This window comes from Homo sapiens, chromosome 3 (genome assembly GCF_000001405.40).
Source record: "Homo sapiens chromosome 3, GRCh38.p14 Primary Assembly".
Lineage (NCBI taxonomy): Eukaryota > Metazoa > Chordata > Mammalia > Primates > Hominidae > Homo > Homo sapiens.
Genome location: NC_000003.12, coordinates 44,421,132 through 44,448,789, shown reverse-complemented (window position 1 = coordinate 44,448,789; position 27,658 = coordinate 44,421,132). Strand labels below are relative to the sequence as shown.

At 46.6% G+C, this 27,658-nt stretch overlaps 1 protein-coding gene, 1 long non-coding RNA gene and 1 pseudogene across 9 annotated transcripts in view, besides 2 other annotated features; 2 read left to right on the top strand and 1 right to left on the bottom strand.

Moving 5' to 3' along the window:
• Positions 1-17,085, top strand: part of ZNF445 (zinc finger protein 445) — a 45,966-nt gene extending 28,881 nt beyond the window's left edge. For both annotated transcript variants that reach the window (NM_001369454.1, NM_181489.6), the window contains one exon: positions 51-17,085. In NM_001369454.1, the coding sequence (NP_001356383.1) occupies positions 51-2,215 (2,165 nt within the window). In that variant the 3' untranslated portion in view covers positions 2,216-17,085. The remainder of the gene's footprint in view (positions 1-50) is intronic.
• Positions 7,190-7,396: a silencer, noted in NCBI's record as "fragment chr3:44482886-44483092 (GRCh37/hg19 assembly coordinates)". NCBI's record gives its function as "represses an EF-1alpha promoter that drives an FKBP-Casp9 reporter gene in an ReSE screen in K562 erythroleukemia cells {active_cell/tissue: K562}" and the evidence as "EXISTENCE:reporter gene assay evidence [ECO:0000049][PMID:32094911]".
• On the top strand, positions 8,892-27,658 carry C3orf86P (chromosome 3 open reading frame 86, pseudogene; annotated as a pseudogene). Of its 6 annotated transcripts, NR_172926.1 has the most exons (4): positions 8,892-8,993; positions 11,023-11,092; positions 19,693-19,859; positions 26,977-27,658. The product of NR_172926.1 is annotated as a chromosome 3 open reading frame 86, pseudogene, transcript variant 5 (transcript). The 6 variants fall into 6 exon arrangements; NR_172922.1 differs by lacking the exons at positions 11,023-11,092; positions 19,693-19,859 and adding an exon at positions 25,853-25,937; NR_172927.1 differs by lacking the exon at positions 11,023-11,092.
• LINC01988 (long intergenic non-protein coding RNA 1988) lies at positions 19,261-20,868 on the bottom strand. The gene is made up of 4 exons (NR_144436.1): positions 20,632-20,868; positions 20,166-20,235; positions 19,849-19,943; positions 19,261-19,724 (listed from the first exon to the last, which is right to left on the bottom strand). It is a non-coding gene; the product is annotated as a long intergenic non-protein coding RNA 1988 (long non-coding RNA).
• Positions 23,807-23,946: an enhancer, noted in NCBI's record as "active region_19763". NCBI's record gives its function as "activates an Ori minimal core promoter by ATAC-STARR-seq in GM12878 lymphoblastoid cells {active_cell/tissue: GM12878}" and the evidence as "EXISTENCE:reporter gene assay evidence [ECO:0000049][PMID:35858748]".

The following is a 27,658-nucleotide window of genomic DNA, read 5'->3' as shown; positions in this document are numbered from 1 at the left end:
TTCCAAGTATGGGAAAAGAGTACATTCTCTTGTGTTATATTTTTTGTCAGGAGATGACCTCCAGAGTAAAACAAACAAATTCATCTTAAATCAGGAACCTTTGGAAGAAGCAGAAACCTTAGCTGTGTCATCAGGATGTCCTGCGACAAGTGTTTCTGAGGGAATTGGGCTCAGAGAATCTTTTCAACAGAAGAGCAGGCAGAAGGATCAATGTGAAAATCCCATACAAGTAAGAGTTAAGAAAGAAGAGACCAATTTCAGTCACAGGACAGGAAAAGACTCTGAAGTATCAGGAAGTAATAGTCTTGACTTAAAACATGTTACATATTTGAGAGTTTCTGGAAGAAAGGAATCCCTTAAACATGGCTGTGGCAAACACTTCAGAATGAGTTCACACCACTATGACTACAAGAAATATGGGAAGGGGCTCAGACACATGATTGGGGGCTTCAGCCTACATCAGAGAATTCATAGTGGACTGAAAGGGAACAAAAAGGACGTGTGTGGAAAAGACTTCAGCCTTAGCTCTCATCACCAACGTGGGCAGAGTCTTCACACAGTGGGAGTGTCATTTAAGTGCAGTGACTGTGGAAGGACTTTCAGTCATAGCTCCCATCTTGCGTATCATCAGAGACTTCACACTCAAGAGAAAGCATTTAAATGTAGGGTGTGTGGGAAAGCCTTCCGGTGGAGTTCCAACTGTGCGCGGCATGAGAAAATTCACACTGGAGTGAAGCCTTATAAATGCGATTTATGTGAGAAAGCTTTCCGACGCCTGTCAGCCTACCGTCTGCACCGAGAAACCCATGCTAAGAAGAAATTTCTTGAATTGAATCAGTATAGGGCAGCTCTCACCTACAGCTCAGGGTTTGATCATCATTTGGGAGACCAAAGTGGGGAGAAACTCTTTGACTGCAGCCAGTGCAGGAAATCCTTCCACTGTAAGTCATATGTTCTTGAACATCAAAGGATTCACACCCAGGAGAAGCCCTATAAATGTACCAAATGTAGGAAAACCTTTAGATGGAGATCAAACTTTACTCGTCATATGAGGTTGCATGAGGAGGAAAAATTCTACAAACAAGATGAATGTCGTGAAGGCTTCAGGCAATCTCCTGACTGCAGTCAGCCCCAGGGTGCTCCCGCTGTGGAGAAAACATTTCTGTGTCAGCAGTGTGGGAAAACTTTTACTAGAAAGAAAACTCTCGTTGACCACCAGAGAATTCACACAGGTGAGAAACCTTACCAGTGTAGCGATTGTGGGAAGGACTTTGCCTATAGGTCAGCCTTTATTGTTCATAAGAAGAAGCATGCCATGAAAAGAAAACCTGAGGGCGGGCCATCTTTTAGTCAGGACACAGTGTTCCAGGTTCCTCAGAGCAGTCACTCCAAAGAGGAGCCCTACAAATGCAGCCAGTGTGGCAAGGCCTTCCGCAATCACTCATTCCTCCTCATCCATCAGAGAGTTCACACTGGAGAGAAGCCATATAAGTGCAGGGAGTGTGGGAAAGCCTTCAGATGGAGTTCCAATCTCTACCGACATCAGAGGATTCACTCTCTTCAAAAACAGTATGATTGCCATGAAAGTGAAAAGACTCCAAATGTGGAGCCAAAAATCCTCACTGGTGAGAAACGTTTTTGGTGTCAAGAATGTGGGAAAACCTTTACACGTAAAAGAACCCTTTTAGATCATAAGGGAATACACAGTGGAGAGAAGCGCTATAAATGTAATCTATGTGGGAAATCTTATGATAGAAACTATCGCCTTGTTAACCATCAGAGGATCCACTCTACAGAGAGACCTTTCAAATGTCAGTGGTGTGGGAAAGAGTTCATTGGGAGACATACCCTTTCCAGTCACCAGAGGAAACACACCAGAGCAGCACAGGCTGAACGTAGCCCGCCTGCACGGTCTTCCTCTCAGGACACAAAGTTGAGATTACAGAAGCTAAAACCAAGTGAAGAGATGCCCCTCGAAGACTGCAAAGAAGCTTGCAGCCAGAGCTCCAGGCTCACTGGACTCCAGGACATAAGCATTGGGAAAAAGTGCCACAAATGCAGCATATGTGGGAAAACTTTTAACAAGAGTTCACAACTCATTAGCCACAAGAGATTTCATACTCGAGAGAGGCCCTTCAAATGCAGCAAGTGTGGAAAGACCTTCAGGTGGTCTTCGAACCTGGCTCGGCATATGAAAAACCATATTAGAGATTAGCCTGGGACCTGACAGTGACAGTGGGGGTGGGTTCTCAGTCCCCTGCTAGAGAACCCTTAATTATAGGCATTGTGGAGTAACTTTGATAAAGGGCCCAGCCCTTTCTGTTTTGGAAGCTAGTGACAGAATCCCAAGGATTTGAAAGCTCGGGGAGTCCCCAGCCTGCCTGCTAGGATGTGACGCTGGGGAAGTGCAGCACCATGTCCTTTGGAGCCCTTCTGGAGACTCCGGCCCCTAGGAGTGGCCTCTGCACCATAGCCTGCGGCTCCCCTATTCAGGTCTCCTTCCACAACTCTGAAGAGAGAGACCACTGCCCTTTGTGGTTGGACAGAATATCTGTGGCATCATGGGCTATGGCTGCTGGAAAGGGGCCAGTGGGATCCTAGATTTGTCTTCAAGTTTGGCCTGTGGCCATGCCTATTCTGTTGACTTTAAAAGCAGCAGCATCAAGAACTCCTAGCCTTCCCAAATGCCCCCTGGGGAGTTCTGGCTGGGGCTTCAGCCTTCCTGGCTGGCTTTTGGATATCTGCTAGGGGGTTAGAGTGGTCTCAGCGGCAGGTGGAGGAGAGCAGGATGCTGGGCTCAAGCGCTTGGCGTGTGGATCTCTACCAGTACCCTGTTGCCATCCCCATCCCACAGGCCTGCATAGGCAGCAGCGGTCCATCTGTTTAACAGAAATGTGCTGAGCACTCCCATACACCAGGCGCTGGTGTGTTTGCCAGAGACCCAGCAGGGACCAGAACAGATGAAAATCCTGCCATCTTGGATCTTTACAGATGACAAACAAATGGGATACGCAGTATTCTGGATGGTGATGTGTGTAGTGGACAAAGTGAATCAGAGAAGAGCAGAGGGAGTGCTGGATTGGGAGATCAGTCGTGATTTTAGATAGTCTGGTCAGGGAGGGCCTCAACTGAGAAGGTGAAATGTGAGCAAAGACGTGAAGGAAGCCAGGGAGGTAGCAGGTAGCTCTCTAGGGAGAGTTGCAGGCAGAGGAGATTGGGTCTTGACTGGTGTCCTCAGGAAGGAAGCCCCTGGGATGGAGTGCAGGGAGCCAGCTGGAAGGGAAGGAGAGGGGCCAGGGAGGCCACAGGCCCGGCCATATGAGCATCATGGGTCATTACGGGGGCTTGAGCTGGCTCAGAGGGAGGCAGGGAGCTTTTGGACAATTTTGAGTTGAGGAGTGATGTGGTTTGAATCTGAATTATATTTTATAAGGGTTAACCACAGATCCAAGGACTCAGTAAAAGGGTGAAAGGCTTCTCATGCAGTTAGCCTTGCTGCCAGTTCCCATAAATCAGACTCCTCCCCACTCCGTTTCTGAATTTTCTATAGGATCCTCGGCCTCAGCAGATATAAACGCTTACCATTGTTGTGTTCATGTCTCTAGCCCCTGCACACTGCAGGCCCCTCTCAGCTTCACATACCCCTCTCCATGTATGAGATCTGGTGCTAGCAATCAGATTCAACCCGAAGGAACAAGTGCATGTGCCTGCTGCTCTCAGGAGAAAAGGCAGCCTGTTCTGGGAGGAGCTCCCTCACTGGCCCACCCACTTGTGTTGAAGCAAAAAGCAAGAATCAATTACTTAAAGGCAAAGGAGTGATATTGCTAAAGCATGTGAGTAATCATTGCTTCTGATTATTGAAGAGGTCAGATTATGAATGAAAGGATAAAATGTTTTAATAGTAGAGCAGTGTCCTGACTATAGGGGCCCGTTCATGGAGCTGGTCATTTCTTGAAATGAGAAGAAACCAACCTGGAAGATGTCTTTTTCAGTAGAGTATGGAATAATCTTACCTGCTCTGGATTGCCATGAGCAGGTGAAAATGAAGGCTCTGATATTGTGTGGTGGTGTCACAGGATGGTGGGGGCGGGGCAGAAGTCTCCTGTTGGTGTTCTGATGCCTGTTCAGCTTTGTCCTCAGGAAGGTTTGGTCATCTTGGTTCTGCCATCCTCTTGCCTTCCTACGGCAGCAGCTGTTCATGGCACTGAAGATGTCCCTTCACTGTCCCAAAACTGGCACTAGAAGTGGCTGGGCAGGGGGGCCAGAGTCATAGGAAGGGTCTTGGAGTCATCAGATCTGGGTTCCAGGCATGGTGTGCCTTTTCTTGGCAGGATTGATCTTGAGCAAGTCAATGAACCTCTGCATCAATTTCCTTATGTGTGAAGTTAGAGTGCTTGGCTGTGCTACCTGATTCCTGAGATTGGTGAAAGAGGGCTTGGTTTACCAAGGCTCTCCATCAGGTGGTTGACCTCTAGGACCAGGGCCCTCTCAGAGGTGCAGCTTCCATGTCAGTTGGTGTTGTAACCATGGAAAAGTCCCTTTCCAATCAAACTTTTAGCACCCCTTTCCCCCCATCTCTGCTCCCTTTGCCACAGGATACCTTGTAAAGTTCCTGCCCCAGTATAGGGATATTTTTACTGTCTTTTTTATTTTTTGAGACAGGGTTGCCCAGGGTGGAGTGCAGTGGCAGGATCACAGCTTACTGCAGCCTTGACCTCCCAGGCTCAGGTCCCATCTGAGCCTCCCGAGTAGCTGGGGCTACAGGTGTGTGCCACCCTGCCAGCTAATTTTTTATATTTTTTTGTAGAGACAAAACTTTTATTTTTTTTTCCCATGTTGCTCATGCTGGTCTCAAACTCCTGGGCTCAAGCAATCCACCCACCTCTGCCTCCCAAAGTGCTGGGATTACAGGCGTGAGCCACTGTGCCTGACCTGTCATTTTTATAGAATGAAATGTGCTTATTTCTAAACATTCTAATCAAATTTTAAAATGTGCAAAGAATGAAGTGAAAAACTGAATTTTTTTTTTTTTTTGATACGGAGTCTCACTCTGTTACCCAGGCTAGAGTGCAGTGGCGCGATCTCCGCTCACTGCAAGCTCTGCCTCCTGGGCTCACACCATTCTCCTGCCTCAGCCTCCTCAGTAGCTGGGACTACAAGTGCCTGCCACCACGCCTGGGTTATTTTTTATATTTTTAGTAGAGACGGGGTTTCACTGTGTTAGCCAGGATGGTCTCGATCTCCAGGATGGTCTCGATCTCCAGGATGGTCTCGATCTCCTGACGTCGTGATCCACCCGCCTCGGCCTCCCAAAATGCTGGGATTACAGGTGTGAGCCACTGTGCCCGGCCAAAAGAACAGAAATTATTTTATCCTGAAGTAAGCTGTTTATATTTGGGATTATACTGAACCTATTTGTCCAATAACCTGAGTTTTCAAATAATTTTAGTTCTATAAGTACTATAATTATATAAATATTAATGAATTCAGATTAGCTGAAAGGAAAAAAAGTAGAAGCCTGACTACTTGGTGCTAACTACTAAAGATTTTGGCAGAATCAATGTTGGATTTGGCTTTCCTGTCCCTTCCCCATGCCAGCCCCCCAGAGTGTTCTGCCTTGTGCTGCCTCCCTTCACCTGGAGTGCCACACCCCTCTCTCTGCCAGTTCAGCTCTTCATTCTTCAAGGCCTGACCTTGTCTGACCCTTGTGCCTCTAAACCCGTGGCCCCACCTCTCTTGGTTCCTATGTCAGGTGATGTTTGTGTTTTTGGTTATGCCCATCTCCATAGCCAGACCAAGCACTCTGGAAGCCAGGGTTGGGTGCTTATTTATCTGTTTGCCATGCAGAAAATATCTTGCACAAAATTACCTCTGTTAAGGAATCTGAAGCTGAATTTAGTTTGGCTGAGTCAGGGTTGGGTTTTTTTTAAGGGGCTGTGGGGTGAAATGTTGACTGGAAGCCACCCACAAACACACACCTGCTGGTTAGGAACCCGGCTGTGGGTGGTTCTGAGCTGTTTGGCTTCAGTTGACAGTTTCTGATTGCCCTGAGCACCAGGTCTCATCTTGCATCTCATCCTGGCCTGGAGAACATTCAGTTTCCTTCCAACCCTTCCCACCTTTCCCCCACTCCCTTGGAGGAACTGAAGTTGGGGTTGAGGAGAGCCAGATGGCTGGAGTGGGTATTTGAAGGTCTTTCTGTCACCTGTTCAGTGTGGTCTGCCCCACCCCTGCTGACCAAGACTGACTGAAATGTAAAATAATACAGACCATCTCACACTCAGAAAGCTGGCACATTTTTGAAAGCCCAAGTGTGGGTAAGTGCGTGGAACAACGATAATTCACACTGCTTTATGAGTAGAAATTGTGAGAAATATTGTGCCAGGCAATTTGCAAAATCTTGGAAGGTTGTGTGCACTTAACCACCCAGCAACTACTCCTGGATGCATCCTAGAGAAGTGCCATGTGAACAGAGAATGATTTTAAGACTTCACTGAAGTATTGTTTAGGTAGCAAGATTGGGAAAAGCCTGCATTTCATCAGCAGAAGAATGGATAAATAAATGGGTTGTTTTTGGTCCTTGGAAAGTGAATATGAAAGAGTTACGTCTCAACACAGATAGATGAAAAATTATGCTGAGAAAGTTGGTGAAGCTACATACAAGGTACCCTTAGTGTAAAGTTAAGCATACTGTGTACCTGTGGGCACGTTACTTCAACTTGTTTTTCACTTTTTCTGTAAAATGGGATAGTAGTGGCAATCTCACAGGGTGATTGTGGGTGGGGGGGTGGTCAATGAAGTAATGCATGTAAAATGCTTAGAATAGTGTCTAGCATGTAAGCCTTGTGGACATATAGAAAGTGTTATTGTTTTGCACAGTAATCTATTTTCTGTGGATTCAAATAATATGAAATGAGTATAAAATCATGTATTGGAACGATGTGTGCAAGTCACCATTCTGCCTTCCTAAGGCAGGAGACCTGATGGATTTGGGGAGGGTACATGGGGCCTTCAGTTGTGTTTTCTTTGTTTTTTTCTAAAAATTGATGCAGAGGCATCACAATGTTAAGATTTTTACAGGGTAGTGTGGTGGGTACTTTTTAACTGTTTGCTTAAAGTGTTTCAAAGTAAAAATATTTCTTAAGCATAGTCTCTGACATCTTATGACTTTATAGAAATCCCTGCCAGGTACATGATGTTACTTAGAGTGAGCCACCTAATCTTTCAAGGCTTCCATTTCCTCACCTGCAAAAATTGGGAGTGTCAGAGGCGTTTGAACCAGAGTGACTCCATCTTGAATAGGGAACTGGGTAAAATAAGGCTGAGACCTACTGGGCTGCATTCCCAGGAGGTTAGGCATTCCAAGTCATGGGATGAGATAGGAGGTCAGCACAAGATACAGTCATAAAGACCTTGCCAATAAAACAGCATGTGGTAAAGAAGCCGGTCAAAACCAAGATGGCAATGAAAGTGACCTCTGGTTGTCCTCACTGCTGTAATTATACTGTAATTATAATGCATTAGCATGCTAACAGACACTCCCACCAGTGCCATGACAGTTTACAAACGCCATGGCAGGCCTGGCACGATGGCTCATGCCTGTAATCCCAGCACTTTGGGAGGCCAAGGCGGGCGGATTATGAGGTCAGGAGATTGAGACCAGCCTGGCCAACATGGTGAAACCCTGTCTCTACTAAAAAATACAAAAATTAGCTGGGCATGGTGGCACGTGCCTGTAATCCCAGCTACTTGAGAGGCTGAGGCAGGAGAATCTCTAGATCCCGGGAGTTGGAGGTTGCAGTGAGCCAAGATGGTGCCACTGCACTCCAGCCTGGGTGACAGAGCAAGACTCTGTCTCAAAAAAAAAAAAAAAAAATGCCATGGCAACATCAGGAAGTAACACTATATGGTCTAAAAAGGAGAGGAACCCTCAGTTCTGGTAATTGCTCACACCTTTCCCGGGAAACTTATGAATAATCTACCCCTTGTTTAGCATATAATCAATAAATAACCATAAAAATAGGCAACCAGCAGCCCTTGGGGCTACTCTTCCTATGGAGTAGCCATTCTGTATTTCTTTACTTTCTTAATATTAACTACTTTCACTTTGTGGACTCGCCCGAATTCTTTTCTTGAGCAAGGTCCAAGAACTCTCTCTTGGGGACTGGATCACGACCGCTTTCTGGTAACAGGAGCAATACAAATGGCTATTAGTAAACGAACGCTTAAGTAACTCTAGTACATCTATGATGAAATACCAGGCCACAGTTTTTTTAAAAATGAGGATGTTCTCTATATACTGACGCACAGTCACCAAGACATGCACTTTATAGGAAATTATAAGCTCCTCCTTGCCTAAATCTCCTTAATTTTGCTTAATAAATAACAAGTGAAGCCAGAAGCTGTAAACTCATAATTTTAATGAAGAAATGGGATCCAGAAGATGGAGATGTTTTTCATTCTACTTTATTAGATGAGGAAAAGGAGAGTAAATACTTGTATGCCAGCTACCACACCTTTTAAAGTTAATGTTAACCCTGCTAAGAACAGCAAGGAGATTTTATATCAGCCAGGTTTTAGTTGCCAGAAACCACACCAGTTATTTTAGCAAAGACCTTATAAAGAAGTGTACTATATTTAAGTAGCTAAAAAGGCAAGAAGAAAATGCCAAGGTGTCTTGGAGGTAGCAACTGCTAAGCAGCTGCCACCCCAGGACTGGGGGAGCTAGAATAGAGTCTCCCCATGTTTGACGTTTGTCTGCTAATAGCATTCAAGCTCTCCCCCTCAGTTTGCCTGGATCTGGACAAGCTGATAAGAAAGCCCAGCCACTTCCTCTTTGCGTCAGAGGGGAAGTTCAAACTGTGCAAACCCTGACTGTCAAATGCACTGAGCTCTCATAACCACAACAAAAACCAGAGCCACTTGTTCGTCCTTTCACTGAAGCCCAACAGACTGGCGTGGGTGCCCGCTTTGCTTTCCCTAGAAGGCCTCATGTGAGTAGTAAACTTTTTCATAACCTCTTGGTGTCTGCAGTGTCATCAGTTTCAACATCCGAACCAGTTTTGAGTGATGGTAGTTTATTGATCCCACCTCATGTGGAGCAAAGTGCAAAGCAGGAACAAAGAGACGTGGCTAGAATTGTTGAAAGGTGGGAGATTGGAAGAGGGACCTTGTGGAGCTGAACTCAGACCTATGGTGGAGGAGTGGACTGCTGGGCTGACATAGTGTCTGTGCTCAGGGAGGGGCCCTGTGGCCTTTGGATCTGTGCTTCTGTGGAGAGGTCCCAGCTACTAATGCTGGGGCAGGGAGCAGAAGGGAGGGTCACAATGAGACTTTGAGTGTTAGTTAACCACCTTTTGCCTGAAGAACATGTAATGGCCTTCCCTGAGGTATATGTCTTCCAAAAGTCCGCTGACGTTGCTCATGACCTATGGTCACCACTGCTTTTTGCGTTTTGCTTTTTTTTTTTTTTTTTTTTTGAGACAAGGTCTCACCCTGTCACCCAGGCTGGAGTGCAGTGGCACGATCTCAGCTCACTGCAACCTCCACTTTCCCAGGCTCAAGCGATTCTCCAGCCTCAGCCTCCTGACTAGCTGGGACTACAAGCGTGCACCACCACACCCAGCTAATTTTTGTATTTTTGTAGAGACAAGGTTTGGCCATGTTGCCCAAGCTGGTCTTGAACTCCTGACCTCAAGTGACCCACCTGCCTCAGCTTGCCAAAGTGCTGGGATTACAGGTGTGAGCCACCATGCCTGGAGTCCTTGTTTTTTTTTTTTTTATACTTTTAGGGTACATGTGCACAATGTGCAGGTTAGTTACATATGTATACATGTGCCATGCTGGTGCGCTGCACCCACTAACTCATCATCTAGCATTAGGTATATCTCCCAATGCTATCCCTCCCCCCCTCCCCCCACCCCACAACAGTCCCCAGAGTGTGATGTTCCCCTTCCTGTGTCCATGTTTTCTCATTGTTCAATTCCCACCTATGAGTGAGAATATGCGGTGTTTGGTTTTTTGTTCTTGCGATAGTTTACTGAGAATGATTATTTCCACCTTCATCCATGTCCCTACAAAGGACATGAACTCATCATTTTTTATGGCTGCATAGTATTCCATGGTGTATGTGTGCCACATTTTCTTAATCCAGTCTATCATTGCCTGGAGTCCTTTTAAAAAAATTATTTTTTTGGCCAGGCACGGTGGCTCACACCTGTAATCCCAGCACTTTGGGAGGCTGAGGCGGGCAGATCACGAGGTCAAGAGATCGAGACCATGCTGGCTAACGCGGTGAAACCCCGTCTCTAGTAAAAATACAAAAAATTAACCGGGCGTGGCAGCGGGCGCCTGTAGTCCCAGCTACTCGGGAGGCTGAGGCGGGCAGATCACGAGATCAGGAGATTGAGACCAGCCAGCCTGGCCAATATGGTGAAACCCCATCTCTATTAAAAATACAAAAATTAGCCGGGTGTGGTGGTGTGTGCCTGTAATCCTAGCTACTGGGGAGGCTGAGGCAGGAGAATCACTTGAACCCAGGAGGTGGAAGTTGCAGTGAGCCGAGATCGCACAACTGCACTCCAGCCTGGGCGACAGAGTGAAACTTTGTCTCAATTAAAAAAAAAAAAAAGTGAAGTGCAAAATGTGACTGAGGAGATACAGTACTCTCCAAATTGCATAATTTTGCCAATTTTTATAGAAACCTGGGGAATCTGTAGAGATAGCGTCAGAAGCATTGGAACGAGAGCAACTCCATGTTGAATAGGGGCTGGGTAAAAGTGTCAGAGGTATTTGAACCAGAGCGACTCCATTTTGAGTGAGGGCTGGGAAAATGAGGCTGAGACTTACTGGCCTGCATTCTCAGAAAGTTAGGCATTCCTACCCTCTAGGATTGAATTGGGACCCCTTTCCTGTAACATATTTCTGGTGACCACAGAAGGGACTATAGTGCAGAAACGTTGACCCAACGGCTACCTTTGCGTAAGTGTTGGGGTCCTGTAACATATTTCTGGCAAACCACAGAAAGGATGATACTGAAGAAATCCCCCCAACCCCAAAGAAATAGACTGCAGCACTGATTGGACGACTTTGGGTAAGTGATGGGGTACCCGAGTAACAAATGGGATTGGGTTAGAGGCCCAACTTAGGGGAGTTGGAGTTTCTCCTAAGACAGAGTGAGTTAGAGGCCCCTCTTAATAAAAGGCAAGGACACTTGACTGACCTCAGGTTAGAGGTTACTCCATCCTACTCTATGGAGTAGCTGTCCTTTCACCACTTTACTTTCTTAATAAACTTGTTTTTGCTTTGCACTGCGGACTTGCCCTGAATCCTTTCTTGCACGAGATCCAAGAACTCTCTTAAGAGTCTGGATCGGGACCCCTTTCCTGTAACAAAATGAGGCTGAGACCTACTGGGCTGCATTCCCAGACGGTTAAGGCATTCTAAGTCACGGGATGAGATAGGAGATTGGCACAAGATCCAGGCCACAAAGACCTTGCTGATAAAGCAGGTTGCAGTAAAGAAGCCAGCTAAAACCCACCAAAACCAAGACGGTGATGAGAATGACCTCTGGTCATCCTCACTGCTACCCTCCCACCAGTGCCATGACAGTTTACAGTTGCCATGGCAACATCAGGAAGTTACCCTATATGGCCTGGAGAGGGGAGGCATGAATAATCCACCCCTTGTTTAGCATATCATCAAGAAACCATAAAATAGACAACCAGCAGCCCTCGGGGCTGCTCTGTCTATGGAGTAGCCATTCTTTTATTCCTTTACTTAATAAACTTGCTTTCTCTTTACGGACTCGCCCTGAATTCTTTCTTGTGCGAGATCCAAGAACCCTCTCTTGGGGTCTGGATTGGGAACCTTTTGCGGTAACAAGGGTGCAGGATCATCGTGGAAGGAATATAAAGTCAGATCAAGCTGAATTATTCGATATGGGATAATTAAGCAGAGATTTGTGGTTCATTGTTTTAACTTGAGAAGCTGAGAATGGCTGTCTTCATTTGCTTTGAGTTGTTGAGATATGGACTCACTGTAATCCCAGCTTGGGAGGCTGAGGTGGGAGGATTGCTTGAGGCCAGGAGTTTGAGACTGGCTTGGGCAATATAGTGAGAACTCATCTCCAAAAGAAAAAAAAAACACGAATGCAAACATAACCTGCACTGAATGAGTTGAAATGCGAGAACTTCGTTGGTATACTGTAGAGGAAGATATGTAAATGCTTAAGGAGATAAAAATGCTTGAGTATTTATCATGTAAATACCTGCTCACCCACCCAGGGAGGGTCCAGAGGACACTTCATTATGAGAAATAAATTCATGTAGAGAGTGCCAGATATTCTATACAGGCCACATTACAGTGGGAAATGCTCCCTGAAGTGCAGTGGGGCTGATGGAATCCTGAGGAGGCAGGGACCATATGGTAACACTTAGTCACCAAAAACACAATTGGTGTGGTGACTGCCATGGACAGTGCAGCCAAAGCAGGATCCTGAATGGTCTGACCCACAGAGATCTGTGATGTCTGCCTGCTGATCATAGTGTCCTGAGAACTGAAATGGATGGGCTGCCTACTAAAGTTTTACTTGATCCGAGTAAGTAGGAAAGCTCCAGATCTGGTGAATAAAGTCTGACCTAAATTACCAACACAGAGTTACAATCACTCAGTCAATTCCAAGTCTTGATCTAGTTCACAAACCCACAGCTTCTTGAATAAAGGATAGGCCAGGTCCCTTTGAAGTAGGACCCTGCTGCACTGACAATAATTTATACTTTTTATCTTCCTAGGCCTCCCCAAAGGCACCCAAGGCCATTTATCAGAGTGATTGTGCATTGGGAAGGGCAAATAATTAGACTTTTCTGGGATAACCAGCCTCTAGTTCTGAACTAGCAGTAATTACAGGAGACTCAAAATGCCACCATGGTTCCTCAGAGTAAGAGTGTATGGAGGTCAGGTGATCAATGGGCTTTTTGGCTCAGATTCATCTCACAGTAGATCTAGTAGATTCCTGAACCCATCCTATGGTTATTTCCCTGGTTCTAGAATGCGTAATTAGAATAGACATAGTCAACAATGGGCAGAATCCCACACTAGTTCCCTGATCCATACAGTAAAAGTAATTCTGGTAGAAAAGGCCAAGTAGAAGCCACTAGAGCTGCCTCATTCACAAAAATATTAAAGCAAACTAATACCACATTCCTGGAGAGATTGTTGAGATTAGTGCCACCATCAAAGACGGGAACACATCTCCACTTAGCTCACCTACTCAGCCTGTGCAGAAGACAGATGGATCTTGGAGAATGACAATTGGATTAATTGTAAACTTAATTAACTAGTGATTCCAAGTGCAGGTGCTGTTTCCACATGTGGTTTCAGTGCTGAGCAAACGATACGTCTGACAACTGGTTTGCAGTTGTTACTGAGCCAGGCCCAGGTTTGTTCTGTTCTCACACAGTAAATCAATCACTGTGACATGGGTTTTGCAAAAGAGAGAAGAATTATTCACAAGGCTGTCCAGTGAGGAGATGGGAGAATGGCTCTCAAATTCACCTCCCCAAAGATGAGGCTTAGAGAGATTTATAGGTTAGAGAAGTAGGGTGGTCTGAGGCATGGGGAAAGGTGATTGGCAGTGGGGAAAAATGCAGTCATAATTGGGGTTCATATGACATATGTGCAGAAAATGGTGGCGTTAACATGATCTGAGGGTGGAGTTTTTGGCCCTCTGATGTCAAAAGGCCACCTCTTGGGCATGTGTACAGGCCCAGTTGAAGGGTTGGCAGTCTCAACTGGTTTGAACTGGACAGGATCTGCCCCAAGTTCCTGAAAAATAAGTGGTTGTTATGGTGACTTATAAATGTTATCTATAAGGTAGCACGTAAAAGTTGAGTTACAGTGTTCAATAGCATAGCCTTCAGCTATCGTGGCCTTCAGCTTCATGGGGGAAAAAATAACAAAGAGCAAGCAACCAAAAGCAAGCGGGGCAGGCGAAGTGTGGCACACCCGATCCGATTATCCCCTTGGCTGCCCAGTTACCCATCTGGTGAATGTTTCTCTATACCTGTGAGTAAAGACCATCAGGAACAGTTTGCTTTCAGCTAGATACACCTTCACCACCCTATCTCAAGGCTGCCTCAACTCTGCCGCCCAGCTCATGATCTAGTTCCCAGGTCCTTTGAGAACCTTTTCACCCTCAGGACGACACACTGGTCCATTATATTGATGACATTATAGTCACTGGACCTGGTGTACAGGGAGTAGCAACTGCTCCAGACATGTTGGAAGACACATAATATGACTCAGTGTAGGAAATAAACCCACAACATGGCTAAGGGCAAATAATGTTTCCAAAACTTCTTTCTCTCTTTTTTTTTTCTTTTTTGAGACAGAGTCTCACTCTGTAGCTCGAGCTGGAGTGGAGGCAATCTTGGCTCACTGCAACCTGCACCTCCTGGGTACAAGTGAAGCTGCTTCCTCAGCCTGTTGGGACTACAGGTGTGCGCCACCACGCCCGGCTAATTTTTTTTTTTTTTTTTTTGGTAAAGGCAGGGTTTCACCATGTTAGCCAGCTTGGTCTTGAACTCTTGACCTCAAGTGATCTGCCCACCTCAGCCTCCCAAAGTGCTGGGATTACAGAAGTGAGCCACCAAGCCAGGCCCTTTTTCTCTCTCTTTCCAATAGTTACATTCTATATGTTTAAAAGGGACACGAGACAATTTTGTATGTGATTTTCTGAATCACATAATTCCACATTTAACATTTTGGGGAAATGCCAAACTGTTTTCCAAAGGGGCTGCCTGGGAGTCTCAGCTCTAGTTCTCAGTCCTCAGCAGCCATTCCTTTCCTCAGTGGGGCGTCAGTGCTGCCTTCCAAAGTCCAGGGCTGCCTTGAGACCTGATCAGGACCGGCTATTTTGCCAGGTGCAGTGCATGATGTTCAAGACCATTCAGAATTTCAAGACCCTGACAGCAGAGCAAGATAGCAGGCGGAGGCCATTCTAAGTGTGGGGCCCCGCAGGGCTGCCCAGGCTGCCTGCCTGTGAAGCCAGTCCTGCCTGATGGAGATGCTTTTGCCATGGCGTGAGGGAAAGTGAGCTGATGGTTCTCCACTTTCCCACTCTCTCTCTGCAGGTCCGGCTCCTCTAAGGGCAGAAGCCAGAACTTGGTCCCTGAACCTTCTCCAGTCTCCCTCCCTGGGCATTTCTCTCATAACCCCATCAGACCCCCCAGTAATGGCCTGACGTGGGTTCTGGAAATAGAACATGGGTTCTTAGAATGGCTCTCTGAGACTTCATTGAGTTGTCTGTCCTATTTCTTTCCTCAACAAAATGTCCACATCCTCAATCTCCTGTCTCAGCAGGAAAGATGAAAAGAACAGTGAGGCTTAGGCCAGGCACGGTGGCTCACACCTGTAATCCCAACACTTTGGGAGGCTGAGGTGGGCAGATCACCTGAGAACGGGAGTTCGAGACCAGTCTGAACTCCCTGTCTCTACTAAAAATACAAAAGTAGCCAGGCGTGGTAGCGGGCACCTGTAAATCCCAGCTACTGGGGAGGCTGAGACAGGAGAATCGTTTGAACCTGGGAGGCGGACGTTGTGGTGAGCCGAGATAGTGCCACTGCACTCCAGCCTGGACAACAGAGCGGGAAAAAAAAAAAAAAAGAACGATGACCCTTAGCATCCCAGGAAGCTTTGGGTGGTGAGAGATGGAGAGTATCTCCTTCCTGTGGTACTTCAGTTTCCCGTCTCCTTGTTAGGATGTTGCAAAGCTGGCCTGCTGAGGTCTTCTGTGATCTCCTGTGCTTCCTACACTTCCACCTGAAAATGAACCTACTGCAGGGATGAATCCATGAGCAGAATTTTAATGAAAAGGAAGCAGACACAAAGGAATCCATGGGTTGTAACTCCACCGACTTAAAATGAAAAACACAGGCAACAAAGAACAGGCACGATGCTGCTTCGCCAGCTGGTTCCTTGTTGGGTTCTGCCATTCAGGGATGTAAGAGGGAAGCTGGGATGTTGGAGGACTGGAGTGTGAGGGTAAATTTTAGGTGTCAACTTGGCTGAGCCACAAGGTCCCCAGGTATTTGATCAAACATTATGCTGGGTGTTTCTGTGAGGTTGCTTTGGATGAGATTAACGTTTAAATTTGTGGACTTTGAGGAAAGCAGATTGCCCTCTATCTGTGGGTGGGCTTCATCCAATCACCTGAAGACCTGAGGAGAACATAAAGTCTGGCTGCCCCAGACTCTCTCTCAGGCAAGAGAGAATTCTTCCGCAGACTGCCTTCAGAGTTCATGCACACCATCTACTAATCCTGCTCCACAGCAGGTGCCACTGGGCTCTCACTGGAATATGTATTCTCCTGGTTCTCCAGCCTGCTCATCCACCCTGAAGATTTGGGACTTGCCAGCCTCCTTAATTCTATAAGCCAATTCCTTATCATAAATTCATAAATCCCTCTCTCTCTATCTCCATCCACACACACACACACACACACACACACACACACACAGACACACACACACAAATGAGTGTAGATGTGTTCCAATAAAACTTCATTTAGAGACATTGAAATTTAAATTTCAAGGGCTGGGCATGGTGGCTCAACGCCTGTAATCTCAGCACTTTGGGAGGCTGAGGCAGGTGGATCACTTGAGGTCAGGAGTTCGAGACCAGCCTGGCCAACATGGTGAAACCCCGTCTCTACTAAAAATACAAAACATGTAGCCACGTGCAGTGGCTCATGCCTGTAATCCCAGCTGGGAGGCTAAGATGGGAGAATAGCTTGAACACAGGAGGCAGAGGTTGCTGTGAGCTGAAATGGTGCCCAGAAGACAGAGCGACCCTGTCTCAAAAAAATAAAAAATAAAAAATAAATTTCATATAATCTTCAGATATATTCATTCATTTACATATTGTCTGTGGTTGTTTTCACCCTTTAGGTCAGAAGTAGCCGACAACCTTTACACAGTATTTACCACTGTTATAGACATCTTTAAATATGGTTTACTTTTGCCTGTTTTTGTACTTTATAGAAATGAAGTAATAAAGTATTGTCTGTCTTGCATTTTTTGCTCAAAATTACGTTTGTCAGTTTTATGTATGTCATTGCATGTGATGATGCTGTATTTTCATTATATCATGGTATTCTGTGTATGATGATACCACTGTGGAGCTCTAGCCCACTCTTTTTTTTTTCTTCTTTCTTTCTTTTTTTTTTTTTTTTTTTTTTTTTTTTGAGACGGAGTCTTACTCTGTCACCCAAGCTGGAGTATAGTGGTAGTATCTCGGCTCACTGCAACCTCCGCCTCGCAGGTTCAAGTGATTCTCCTGCCTCAGCCTTCCAAATAGCTGGGATTACAGGCATGCGCCACCATACCCGGCTAATTTTTGTATTTTTAGTAGAGACGGGGTTTCACCATGTTGGCCGGAGTGGTCACGAACTGCTGACCTCAGGTGATCCACCCGCCTCAGCCTCCCAAAGTGCTGGGATTGCAAGCATGAGCCACCGTGCTCAGCCATCCAGCCCACACTTTATGGACATTGGGCTCTGCCTAGTTTTTGTCCTGGCTCACTGGGGATGGCCTATGTCCAGCTCTATGAAATTTGTAGCAGGCCTTTGAGTTCCTTTTAGCAACGCTTGATTGTGCCAGATCTCTCCATGTTCACTAATATCATAGGCTTGCTATGAGAAGCAACACCCAAAATCTTGTCTTTGCTAGCAGCACCAGGGCTATCTCCTACAAAGACTGCCTCTTCAGAGCCACAGCTCACAACTGCCTTGGCTGGGGTGTATGAGTGGCTGATTTTTTTCAAACTTGCAAGGCACCAAATTATTCAACTGTTTGTGTGTGGCAGGCCAGTCAGGGGTTACCTACATTAACAACACTCTGGATCCTTCTAGCTCTCCTTGCACACTGGCAAGCTCCAGCCAGAGACCACTTTTCTCACAGGACTTTGTTAAAAGCAGCCAAGGAGGAGCCAACAAAACCAGCATTCTGGATTCTTGCCGTTTTCCTAATGCCACAGATTTGGTCAAATTATGATCCACCCTCCAAGCTAACACAGGCTGCAACCTGGCCAAACATTTTACATGAGGTGCCAGCCTCCCCATCTCGAGGACGGGGATACTGCTAAACATTCTACACTGCCCAGTGCTGTCGCAACAACAAGGAATTATCCAGTCCCAAATGTCAAGAGTGCCAAGATTAAGGAACACTGCTTTATTTTATTTTATTTTTTTTTTTGAGACAGAGTGTTGCTCTGTTGCCCTGGCTGAAGTGCAGTGGTGCTATCCTAACTCACTGCAGCCTCAAACTCCTAGCCTCAAGTGATCCTCCCACCTTAGCCTCCTGAATAGCTAGGGCTACAGGTGCGTAACACCACACCCAGCTAATTTTTTAAAAACTTTTATGTAGAGATGGGGGTCTTGCTAGGCTGGTTTGAACTCCTGGCCTCAAGTGTTGCTTCTGTCTCGGCCTCCCAAAATGCTGGAATTACAGGCATGAGCCACAGTGCCCAGACCAAAACCGTTCTTTAGCAAGACATTCCTGTAGTCCAGGTCTGCTCATGGTAAACTTTTTATCTTGAAAGTCTTCATAGTTCCCTAATTGTTGAATAATTAGCTGAACGTACAAATCTGAGATGTCTGATTTTTTTCAGTATGTTAATGATACTATTTCATTAAATTTTATCATTTTTAATTTCAATTCATCAGATATTTTCCCTAGCAGCTTTCAAGGTTTATCTTCAGTGTTTCATGCTTTTGCTACAATGTAACTAAGTGTGGATGTTTTCAATTATCCTCTGTGGGATTCAGTGGCATCCCTCACTCTGAGAATTCCTGTTTTCCATCAATTTTGGGAAATTCTCAGCTTTATCTCTTGGATGTAGCCTCCCCTTTCCCTGTGTGATCTCCTAGAGCCTGTCTGTGCTCTGTTGGAACTTTTCCTTCAAATGTCCTGTCACCCATCTCTGGACTCCTTAAGGAAGATTGCACTTCAGATCTTGTTTGAGTTCACTTGGCCCCTCTGCTACCTGCATCTTATCTTTTTTGTGCGTGGGTGATGGAGTTTTGCTCTGTCGCCCAGGCTGGAGTGGCGCGATCTCAGCTCACTGCAACCTTTACTGCGCCCGGCCTGCTAACTGCATCTTATCTGATGTTTAATCTGTCCCTTGAGTTTTTATTTCTAATGATATTTTTCATCTCCAAAATGGGAAAAGCACATGTTAGCACAAATAATGAAACACTGGATATTGTTTTCTAAGGAATTTATTTGAAAGAATTATATCTATGGAAAATAAATATTCCAAAAAAGCTCTGAATTTTAGATGTTGAGATATTTCAAAGGTCAAACCAGGCCACGATTTGTGCTGGGTTGAAGGCCTGTGAGGACCCCATGTGGGACCCCCTGTGTGACGATCACAGCCTGGAGGATGACCTTCTGGGGGCTGAAGGGCATCACATTTTTGGACAAATCATAAATGTAGGAAAGCTCTGGGGCTGGTGGGAGTGGCTTGGGGGATGGGAAATGTGGGGCTCAGTGGCATAGGGAGTGGTACCTGTGGCCCACGCTTTCGGGGAGGGCCTGGGAGGGGGAAGCGCAGGATGCTTGTGTCAGGCAGTAGCAGAGGGCTCCTGGCATCAGCAGGCACCGGGCCAGTGCTTCTTGGGCCACTTTCTCTTAGGCAGCAGCAGGGGGTGTCCCTGGACTCCGTGCCTGTGTGGGAACACGAGATGGGCCTCTGGGACAGGGAGGAGCCACCTCCCCAGCACCACATCCAGACAGGGGTCCACATTGCAGGATCCGCAGAGAAGCAGGAAATGGTGCAGGAGGATCTAACCTGGATGCAGGGTAGGTTATTTGTTCTGTGACTTCATTTGCCCACATGCATGTGAGTAGAGGCTTGTTCCTTGACCCCAATTGACTTTTAGACATCTGAAGGAGAGAAAAGACAGCCTAAGTGAGTTCTCCATCAGTGGGCAATAGAGGAACTCACCCTCATGCTGCACACCTTCAAAGAAACTGTGTGGTCTGTGGACTTCAACAAACTAACCCATGCTCCAGGGGTACAGACTTTGTCAGACAATTTAAAAGCTTTCCCAAGAATAGGAGAGGGCTCATAAGCTGTCCCAAGTGAATTTCTAGGTTTGAACAAACCTTCAGTAAGAAACACGGTGGACACCTCCAAGTCATCCTCTCCTGACACACGTTTGCCAAGGTCCATTTCCTATGAATTGATAGGTTCTATTAGTTTTTATTTATTTATTTATTTTTTGAGACAGAGTTTCACTCTTGCTGCCCAGGCTGGAGTGCAATGATGAGGTCTTGGCTCACTGCAACCTCCGCCTCCCTGGTTCAAGTGATTCTCCTGCCTCAGCCTCCCAAGTAGCTAGGACTACAGGCGTGTGCCACCATGACTGGCTAATTTTTTGTATTTTTAGTAGAGAGGGGGTTTCACCATGTTGGCCAGGCTGGTCTCAAACTCCTGATCTCAGGTGATCCATCTGCCTTGGCCTCCCAAAGTGCTGGGATTACAGGCATGAGCCACTGTGCCCGACCGGTTCTGTTACTTTTATAAGGCATGAAGGGATAATCCTTCCTGGTGAAATCTGAAAGTCCTTACCTTCTAGGTTACTGAGGTTTCGAGGTCTGGGCAGCCGATTGGCTGTCTGATGTGAGGTGGAGAAGATGGGCCTGGTCAAAGGGGCAGCCTTTGGATTGGAACTGGATGCCCAGTCTGTCTGGGAGAAGGAAGGCAGTGAAGGGAAGGACCACGAAAAGGAGTGGCAGAAGACTGGCAGTCCCTTCACCCCACAGCCCTCTGCTTCATTCTCTGGCAGCTGTCCCTGACCTTTGTGACATCGAGGTCCCAGCCAATCACAGCACTCACTCCTGCTGTCCCAACAGCCTCCAAGGCAAATCTCTGGAGACTCCACCCACTGAGCTCCTCCCCTGGGGTTCTCTAAGCACTCTGAATTTGTGGACAAAAGCCCCTTTACTACCAGCATAACTACATACTTCACTTTCACAAGTTGGCATGCCTGGGTGAGGGCAATTATTTTAGTCATATGAGCTTCGATTTCTGGGAGAGTCAAGTCAATTCAGTTTTTGAGAGTGCTCTATATTTCAAGGGTGAATTTATATCTGTTATTTTACTTTATTTATTTATTTTTGAGAAAGGGTCTCGCTCTGTCATCCAGGCTGGAGTGCAATGGCATGATCTCGGCTCACTGAAGCCTCCGCCTCCTGGGTTCAAGCGATTCTTGTGCCTCAGCCTCCCGAGTAGCTGGAACTACAGGCGTGTGCCTCCACGCCCAGCTAAGTTTTGTATTTTTGGTGTAGAGATGGGGTTTCACTATGTCGGCCAGGCTGGTCTCTAACTCCTGGCCTGAAGTGATCCACCTGCTTTGGCCTCCCAAAGTGCTGGGATTACAGATGTGAGCCACCATACCCGGTCAAAATTTTTTATTTTAAATAAGTTATGGAAATGATGAAAACATTTCATTTACAAAATAAATGTGGGCCGGGCGCTGTGGCTCATGCCTGTAATCCCAGCATTTTGGGAGGCCGAGGCGGGTGGATCACCTGAGGTCGAGAGTTTGAGACTAGCCTGGCCAACATGGTGAAAACCCATCTCTACTAAAAATACAAAAAATTAGCTGGGCATGGTGGCACACACCTGTAATCCCAGCTACTCGGGAGGCTGAGACAGGAGAATCGCTTGAACCTGAGAGGTGGAGGTTGCTGTGAGCCGAGATTGTGCCACTGCACTCCAGCCTGGGGACAGAGTGAGGCTCCATCTCAAAAATAAATAAATAAATAAAATTAATGTAGGAAATTTAGGAAGTTTGAATTATAAGAAATCTAATTTTGGTCTGGAATAAGCCAAAATATTGTACTAACATTTTTTAAAAAAATAAACTAATAAGGAGTGAATCATGCTAACATTTTCCTTTATTTTGAAGTTGGCGTCTTTTCTTTTGTCATAGCTAGTTTAAAAGGTTATCAGGGAAATACATTTTCTAGTGTCCATAAAAAATAGTTCAATAACTTTTTTCTTTAGACAATTTAGACTTTACCTGAACTAAAAATTCCTAGAATATATGCATAACGGCTGAATGTAATTTTTGTTAAGTCTTTCATTTTGTTAAGTTTTCAAAAGAGGGAAAAGGAGAGGAAATGGGATAGAAAAAAAATGAGAGGGAGCTGGCTTTAGACAAATAACTAATCATTTTTCTCTGTAAGAAGAGGGATGAAAGTTTAGACATATATACAATACACACACGAGAGTGTCCTATATCTGGTTTTGACATAATTTCAGTTTGTGACAATTCTATCAAGCCATACAATTTTTTAAAAGCCAGAATGTATTAATCTCCAACTTATGGAAAGGAAGGAAGTGATGCCTCCCTGTGAAACAAAATGATCTGTCATTTAGGCAAACAAGACAAAGATTTTCCTCATGAGGGGTCTTTTATTCTTGATATCCAGAGTCTCCTTAAAATGTTTAGCCAAGCCCAGGTGCAGTGGCTCATGCCTGTAATCCCAGCACTTTGGGAGGCCAAGGCCGGTGGATCATGAGGTCAGAAGATCAAGACCATCCTGGGTAACATGGTAAAGCCCTGTCTTAGCTAAAAATACAAAAAAAATTAGCCGGGCATGGTGGCGGGCGCATGTAACCCCAGCTACTTGGGAGGCTGAGGCAGGAGAATGGTGTGAACCCGGGGAGGCAGAGCTTGCAGTGAGCTGAGATCACGCCACTGCACTCCAGCCTGGGTGACAGAGCGAGACTCCATCTCAAAAAAAAAAAAATGTTTAGCCAAATATTGATGTTTATGCAATAGAGTGATTTGCCAGCCAACATTTTTGTTTACCCAACATAGTGACAGTTTTGGACCTGAAGCCTTTCACAAAATGTGGCAAGGGCATTGGAAATGTCAACATTTTAAAGATGCTTGGTCGGGCACGGTGGCTCATGCCTGTAATCCTAGCACTTTGGGAGGCTGAGGTGGGTGGATCACTTGAAGTCAGAAGTTTGAGACCAGCCTAGCCAACATCGTGAAACTCCATCTCTACTAAAAATACAAAAATTAGTTGGGCGTGGTAGCACAGGCCTGTAATCCCAGCTACTCAGGAGGCTGAGGCGGGAGAATCACTTGAACCTGGGAGAAGGAGTTTGCAGTGAGCTGAGATGGTGCCATTGCACTCCAGCCTGGGCAACAGAGTGAGACTCCATCTCAAAAAAAAAAAAAAGAAAAGAAAAAAGAAAAAAAAGATGCACATGAGGGAAAAGATGCTCCTATTTCATATTAGTTATAGCTAAAGAATATTTTAGAGAAGCATTTTTTGAGTCCAAATTGTGTTTAGGAGCCTCCTCATACCAATTAAAGACAGCAGACCATTGGATATTCAGAATTTTGCTTTGTTTTTGTTTTGTATATATCAGAGTTTCCCCAAAGTGATCACTATAATTCTAAATTATCTTTGGGGAAATTGTACCAGTTAGAAAGCTATGCACATGAAGGGAGCCGGTGTTTGGCCTGAAAGAGGCTGAGTTTTCGATAGAAAAGACTCCATGGGAACTTCAGCGTGTCCACAGGGTGGTACTTGTGTGACACTGCGTCTTGGAGCCAGCCAAAGACTAACCAGCATTCAGGGTTGTCCAAGGCTTGGAAGACAAAGCCCTCAAAGCACACTGATCAAGAGCTGGACGCCATGGTGGGGGCAATAAGCTCTTAAGCTTGCCAATATTCACAGCAAGGGGGTTTCCAAGATCAGCTGGGGGAAGGTAATGGAATGAGTTAGAGTTTCCTGGGGAAACTGCCCCTGTGTGGACCGAGGTGGAGAGGCCCTGGGGAGGAAGGGAGGAAGCACACCTGGCCTCACCAAGCACACTGCCAGAGCAGGTGAGCTGAGCCAGGGAGGGAAGAGGGGACAGAGGCTTCTCCTTCACCTTAGCAATGGCCTCATGCTACGGACAGGCCTGCAGCAGTCTCTGGGAAGGCCCAAGGCTACTAGCACCAATGGGGAAAGGCTGCTGGGCAAGCCCCTGGGGGCTGGGAAGGGATTCATTTCTCACTAAGCTCCAGCAGCCCTGTGGACTGCCCCACATCGGGTGGGCACCATCAGGCAGGTGAGGAGAGGAGAAAAGCCTGCTTGGGTGACCTGGGGCCAGCCCAGGAGGACGACTGTTCCATCTTCTGCCAGCACCATGGGCTGGCTCCATGGGACACACAGCAGCCGCTGGGTCCATAGAGTGGGGAACGTGGTGAGGATTCAAGGTGGGCCTGGGCTGGGCAGTCCCAGTAAGCAGCTGGTGACATGGGGAGCTGCATCTAATTCTCAGGGAGACCAGGGTGTGAAGAGGGTGTGAGGCCCAGCAAGCCAGACCCAGGGGAGTAGGGAGGGGATCACAAGATGTTCCTGATCCAGGTAGCCCTGGCTACCATTATACTGAGCACAAACCAACCTTGTCAGAGGACATTGCCCCTTGTTTATAAATTTGGGTTCTAGAAAAAAACCCCGATGCTGTTTTTTGGAGCCATGTGATGGGACTGCTGGAAACCAGGCAGGGAAAGGCAATGGCAGGCACACTTCCAGTTTTGGGGCATCAGGCACTGTGACAGCGAGGATGGTGCAGGGGTGAGTGGGGAGCTGCCCTGCAGGGGTCTGAGATCACCAGGCAGAAGCTAGGCTGGGATAGGGCGGGAAACGCATTACACAACAAAGATTAGATTGCAGGGGCCCCAGCCTTCTAATGCCCCTCCTGCTCTCTGAAGCTCCCTCCACAGACTCCTCCACCCCAGAACCTTCCGACAGGTAAGCTTCAAACCCTTCATACCTATCCAGTTCCCTAGCTCCTGGCCAGCCTCTAACTGTTCAGCCCCCGAACCCCCTGTTTCCACCCACCCTGAACCAGGGGATCTCTGCAGGTTGTGCTGACTCCCCCATGGCCTTGTGGCCACCAGGGGATGCTGGGGAAATCCTCTCCACCTGAGCAAATCAGAACTTCCTGTAGGACACAGGTGTCAGGATCAGCTTCTGGTTGAGCTGGTTGATATTCTAGGTAGCGCACCTTGAAGTTTCTCAGGATTGACAGTCATTGTGTCTGTTCTAAAGAAGGTGAAGGAATTTGATGGAAAGAAAGTAGGAAGAGTCGCCCAGACTTGCAGGCTGCCTCCTGTACTTATTCTGAGAACGTGTTCACATGGCATAGGCGTTTCCTTTTGTGGCCATTTGTAAGAATGGGAAATGAATGACTTTTTTTTTTTTTTTTTGAGACGGAGTCTCACTCTGTCACCCAGGCTGGAGTGCAGTGGCGTGATCTCGCCTCACTGCCAGCTCCGCCTCCCAGGTTCACGCCATTCTGCTGCCTCAGCCTCCCAAGTAACTGGGACTACAGGCCCCCGCCACCAAGCCAGGCTAATTTTTTTGTTTTTTTTTTAGTAGAGACAGGTTTCACCGTGTTAGTCAGGATGGTCTCAATCTCCTGACCTCATGATCCACCCGCCTTGGCCTCCCAAAGTGCTGGGATTACAGGTGTGAGCCACTGCGCCTGACCAGGAAATGACTTATTCTTACAAATGACCACAGGTGTGGCTGCTTGATACAACACCCATTTATTTATTATTTATTTATTAATTTATTTAGAGACAAGGTCTCCCTCTGACATCCAGGCTGGATGGAGCGTAGTGGTACAATCTCAGCTCACTGCAGCCTTGACCACCCCAGGCTCAAGCGATTCTCCCACCTCAGCCTCCTGAGTAGCTAGGACCACAGGTGGATGCCACCACACCTAGCTAATTTATTTGTATTCTTCTTCTTATTATTATTATTATTTGTAGAGATGAGTTCTCCCTGTGTTGCCCAAGCTGGTCTGGAACTCCTGGGCTCAAGCAATCCTCCCACCTCCCAGTGTTGAGATTATAGGTATGAACCATCGAACCAGCCACAACACCCATTTATTATCTCATACCACTGAAGTCCCTAAGTCAGCAAGTGTGGCTCTGCTTAGGGTCTCACAAGATTAACATCAAGGTTTTGTCTACCTCCAGCTTTTATTGGGAGCTCTGGGGAACATCCACTTCCAAGCTCATTTTGTTGACACAGTTTCCAGTAAGCCCTTTCCATTGTCAAGCCAGCAACAGTGGGTTGAGTCCTTCTCATGCTTAGAATCTCTCTCACTTCTCCTGCTGCTGCATCTATCTCTGTGATGCCAGTCAGAGAAAGCTCTCTGCTTTTTAGGGCTCGAGTGATTAGATTGGGCCACTTGCATAATCCAGGATAATATTCCTAGTTCAAGGTCCATAATTTTAATTACATCTGCAAAGTCCCTTTTGCCATATAATGAAACACAGTTGTGGGTTCCAAGGATTAGGGCAGGGCCATCTTTGGGGGACAATTCTGCTGACCACACATGGTCATGTTTGTGTAAAATTTGCAAGAGTGATTTTTTTGGTCTTCTTTTGTATCAGATTCTCCATCCTTCTCTTAATTGAAGATTGTGTTTTTCAAGCTATGGTTCATCATTGCTGCTTTCCTTACAAAATGAATTCGAATGGCAATCAGCATTTTCTTAAGGAATATAGTAGATTTAATTACATAAAAAGAATTGAAAATATCAGAGACTATTGTACATAACTATTTACGTTCCATGAAATTGTTAGTATACACACACATCCCTGAACTAGGTCAGGACGTAAAGTATACTTAGTATACTTGGTTAAGATGAAAATATTTTGAAAAGACCATTTAAGAAGAAAATGACCCTAGAATTCATCTGGAGCTTCCAGTTAGGAGGCTAGAGCTTCCTGTTCCAGGAAGGCTTGGTGCTCCGGGAGAGAGTGAGTCCCCTGGTGAAAGGTTCAGGCTGAGGGAAGCCCAGGCCCTGGCAGTTCCCCCTGACCCTCCACCCGACATATGGAGGCTGGAAGGCCCACCTGTGTTGTCTCACTTTTCTCCCTTTTAGGTATGTCTAGAGGTCAGTTTGGACAGGGACAGGAACCTCTAGACATGTTTTTCTGGGTGAACGAGATAAGCGGAGAAATCACCTACCCCCCGCAGAAGGCAGATGCACCTGCTGTTTCTCCTGAGAGCCCACAAAAGAAGCCCCCATTTCAGCCCAGGAGTGTGCAGGAGGCTCCTTGCAGTCCCCAGGGCCCGCCTGCACAGAGGCCTGCCCTTGCACCTCCATCTAAGCCTTCTCTGAAAGACTCAGGCTCAAGAAACCCCTGCCCATCTGCACCCACCTGGGCCAGGCCAAAGCCGGAGGAGTGAGGAGCCCCCACCGTTCTCAGCAATCCCTGTCACCATCTCATCACCAGGAGTGACTCTGCCCATACTCGGACCCCTGGGACCAGCCCTTCAGCCACCGGTCTCGACCTCTCCTCTCAGCCCTTCTGCACCCTGGGCCTTCACCTGCAAGCTGAACAATGTCCTTACTGGGAATAACTGGTTTTCCTTTTGAATCTTAAGAAAATTTGTCTGGCTACACTCTTTAAGCACCTTCCTGAGCCACCCGTGGCCAGGCTCTGCTGGCCGCATCTGCCTGGCCCCATCTACCTTCCCTGGAAGCACAGGACTCACCCCAGGGGTCTCACAGGAACATGCCCAGTGCTTTCAAACCCAGTAAAATTTTACTTAGATTTTGA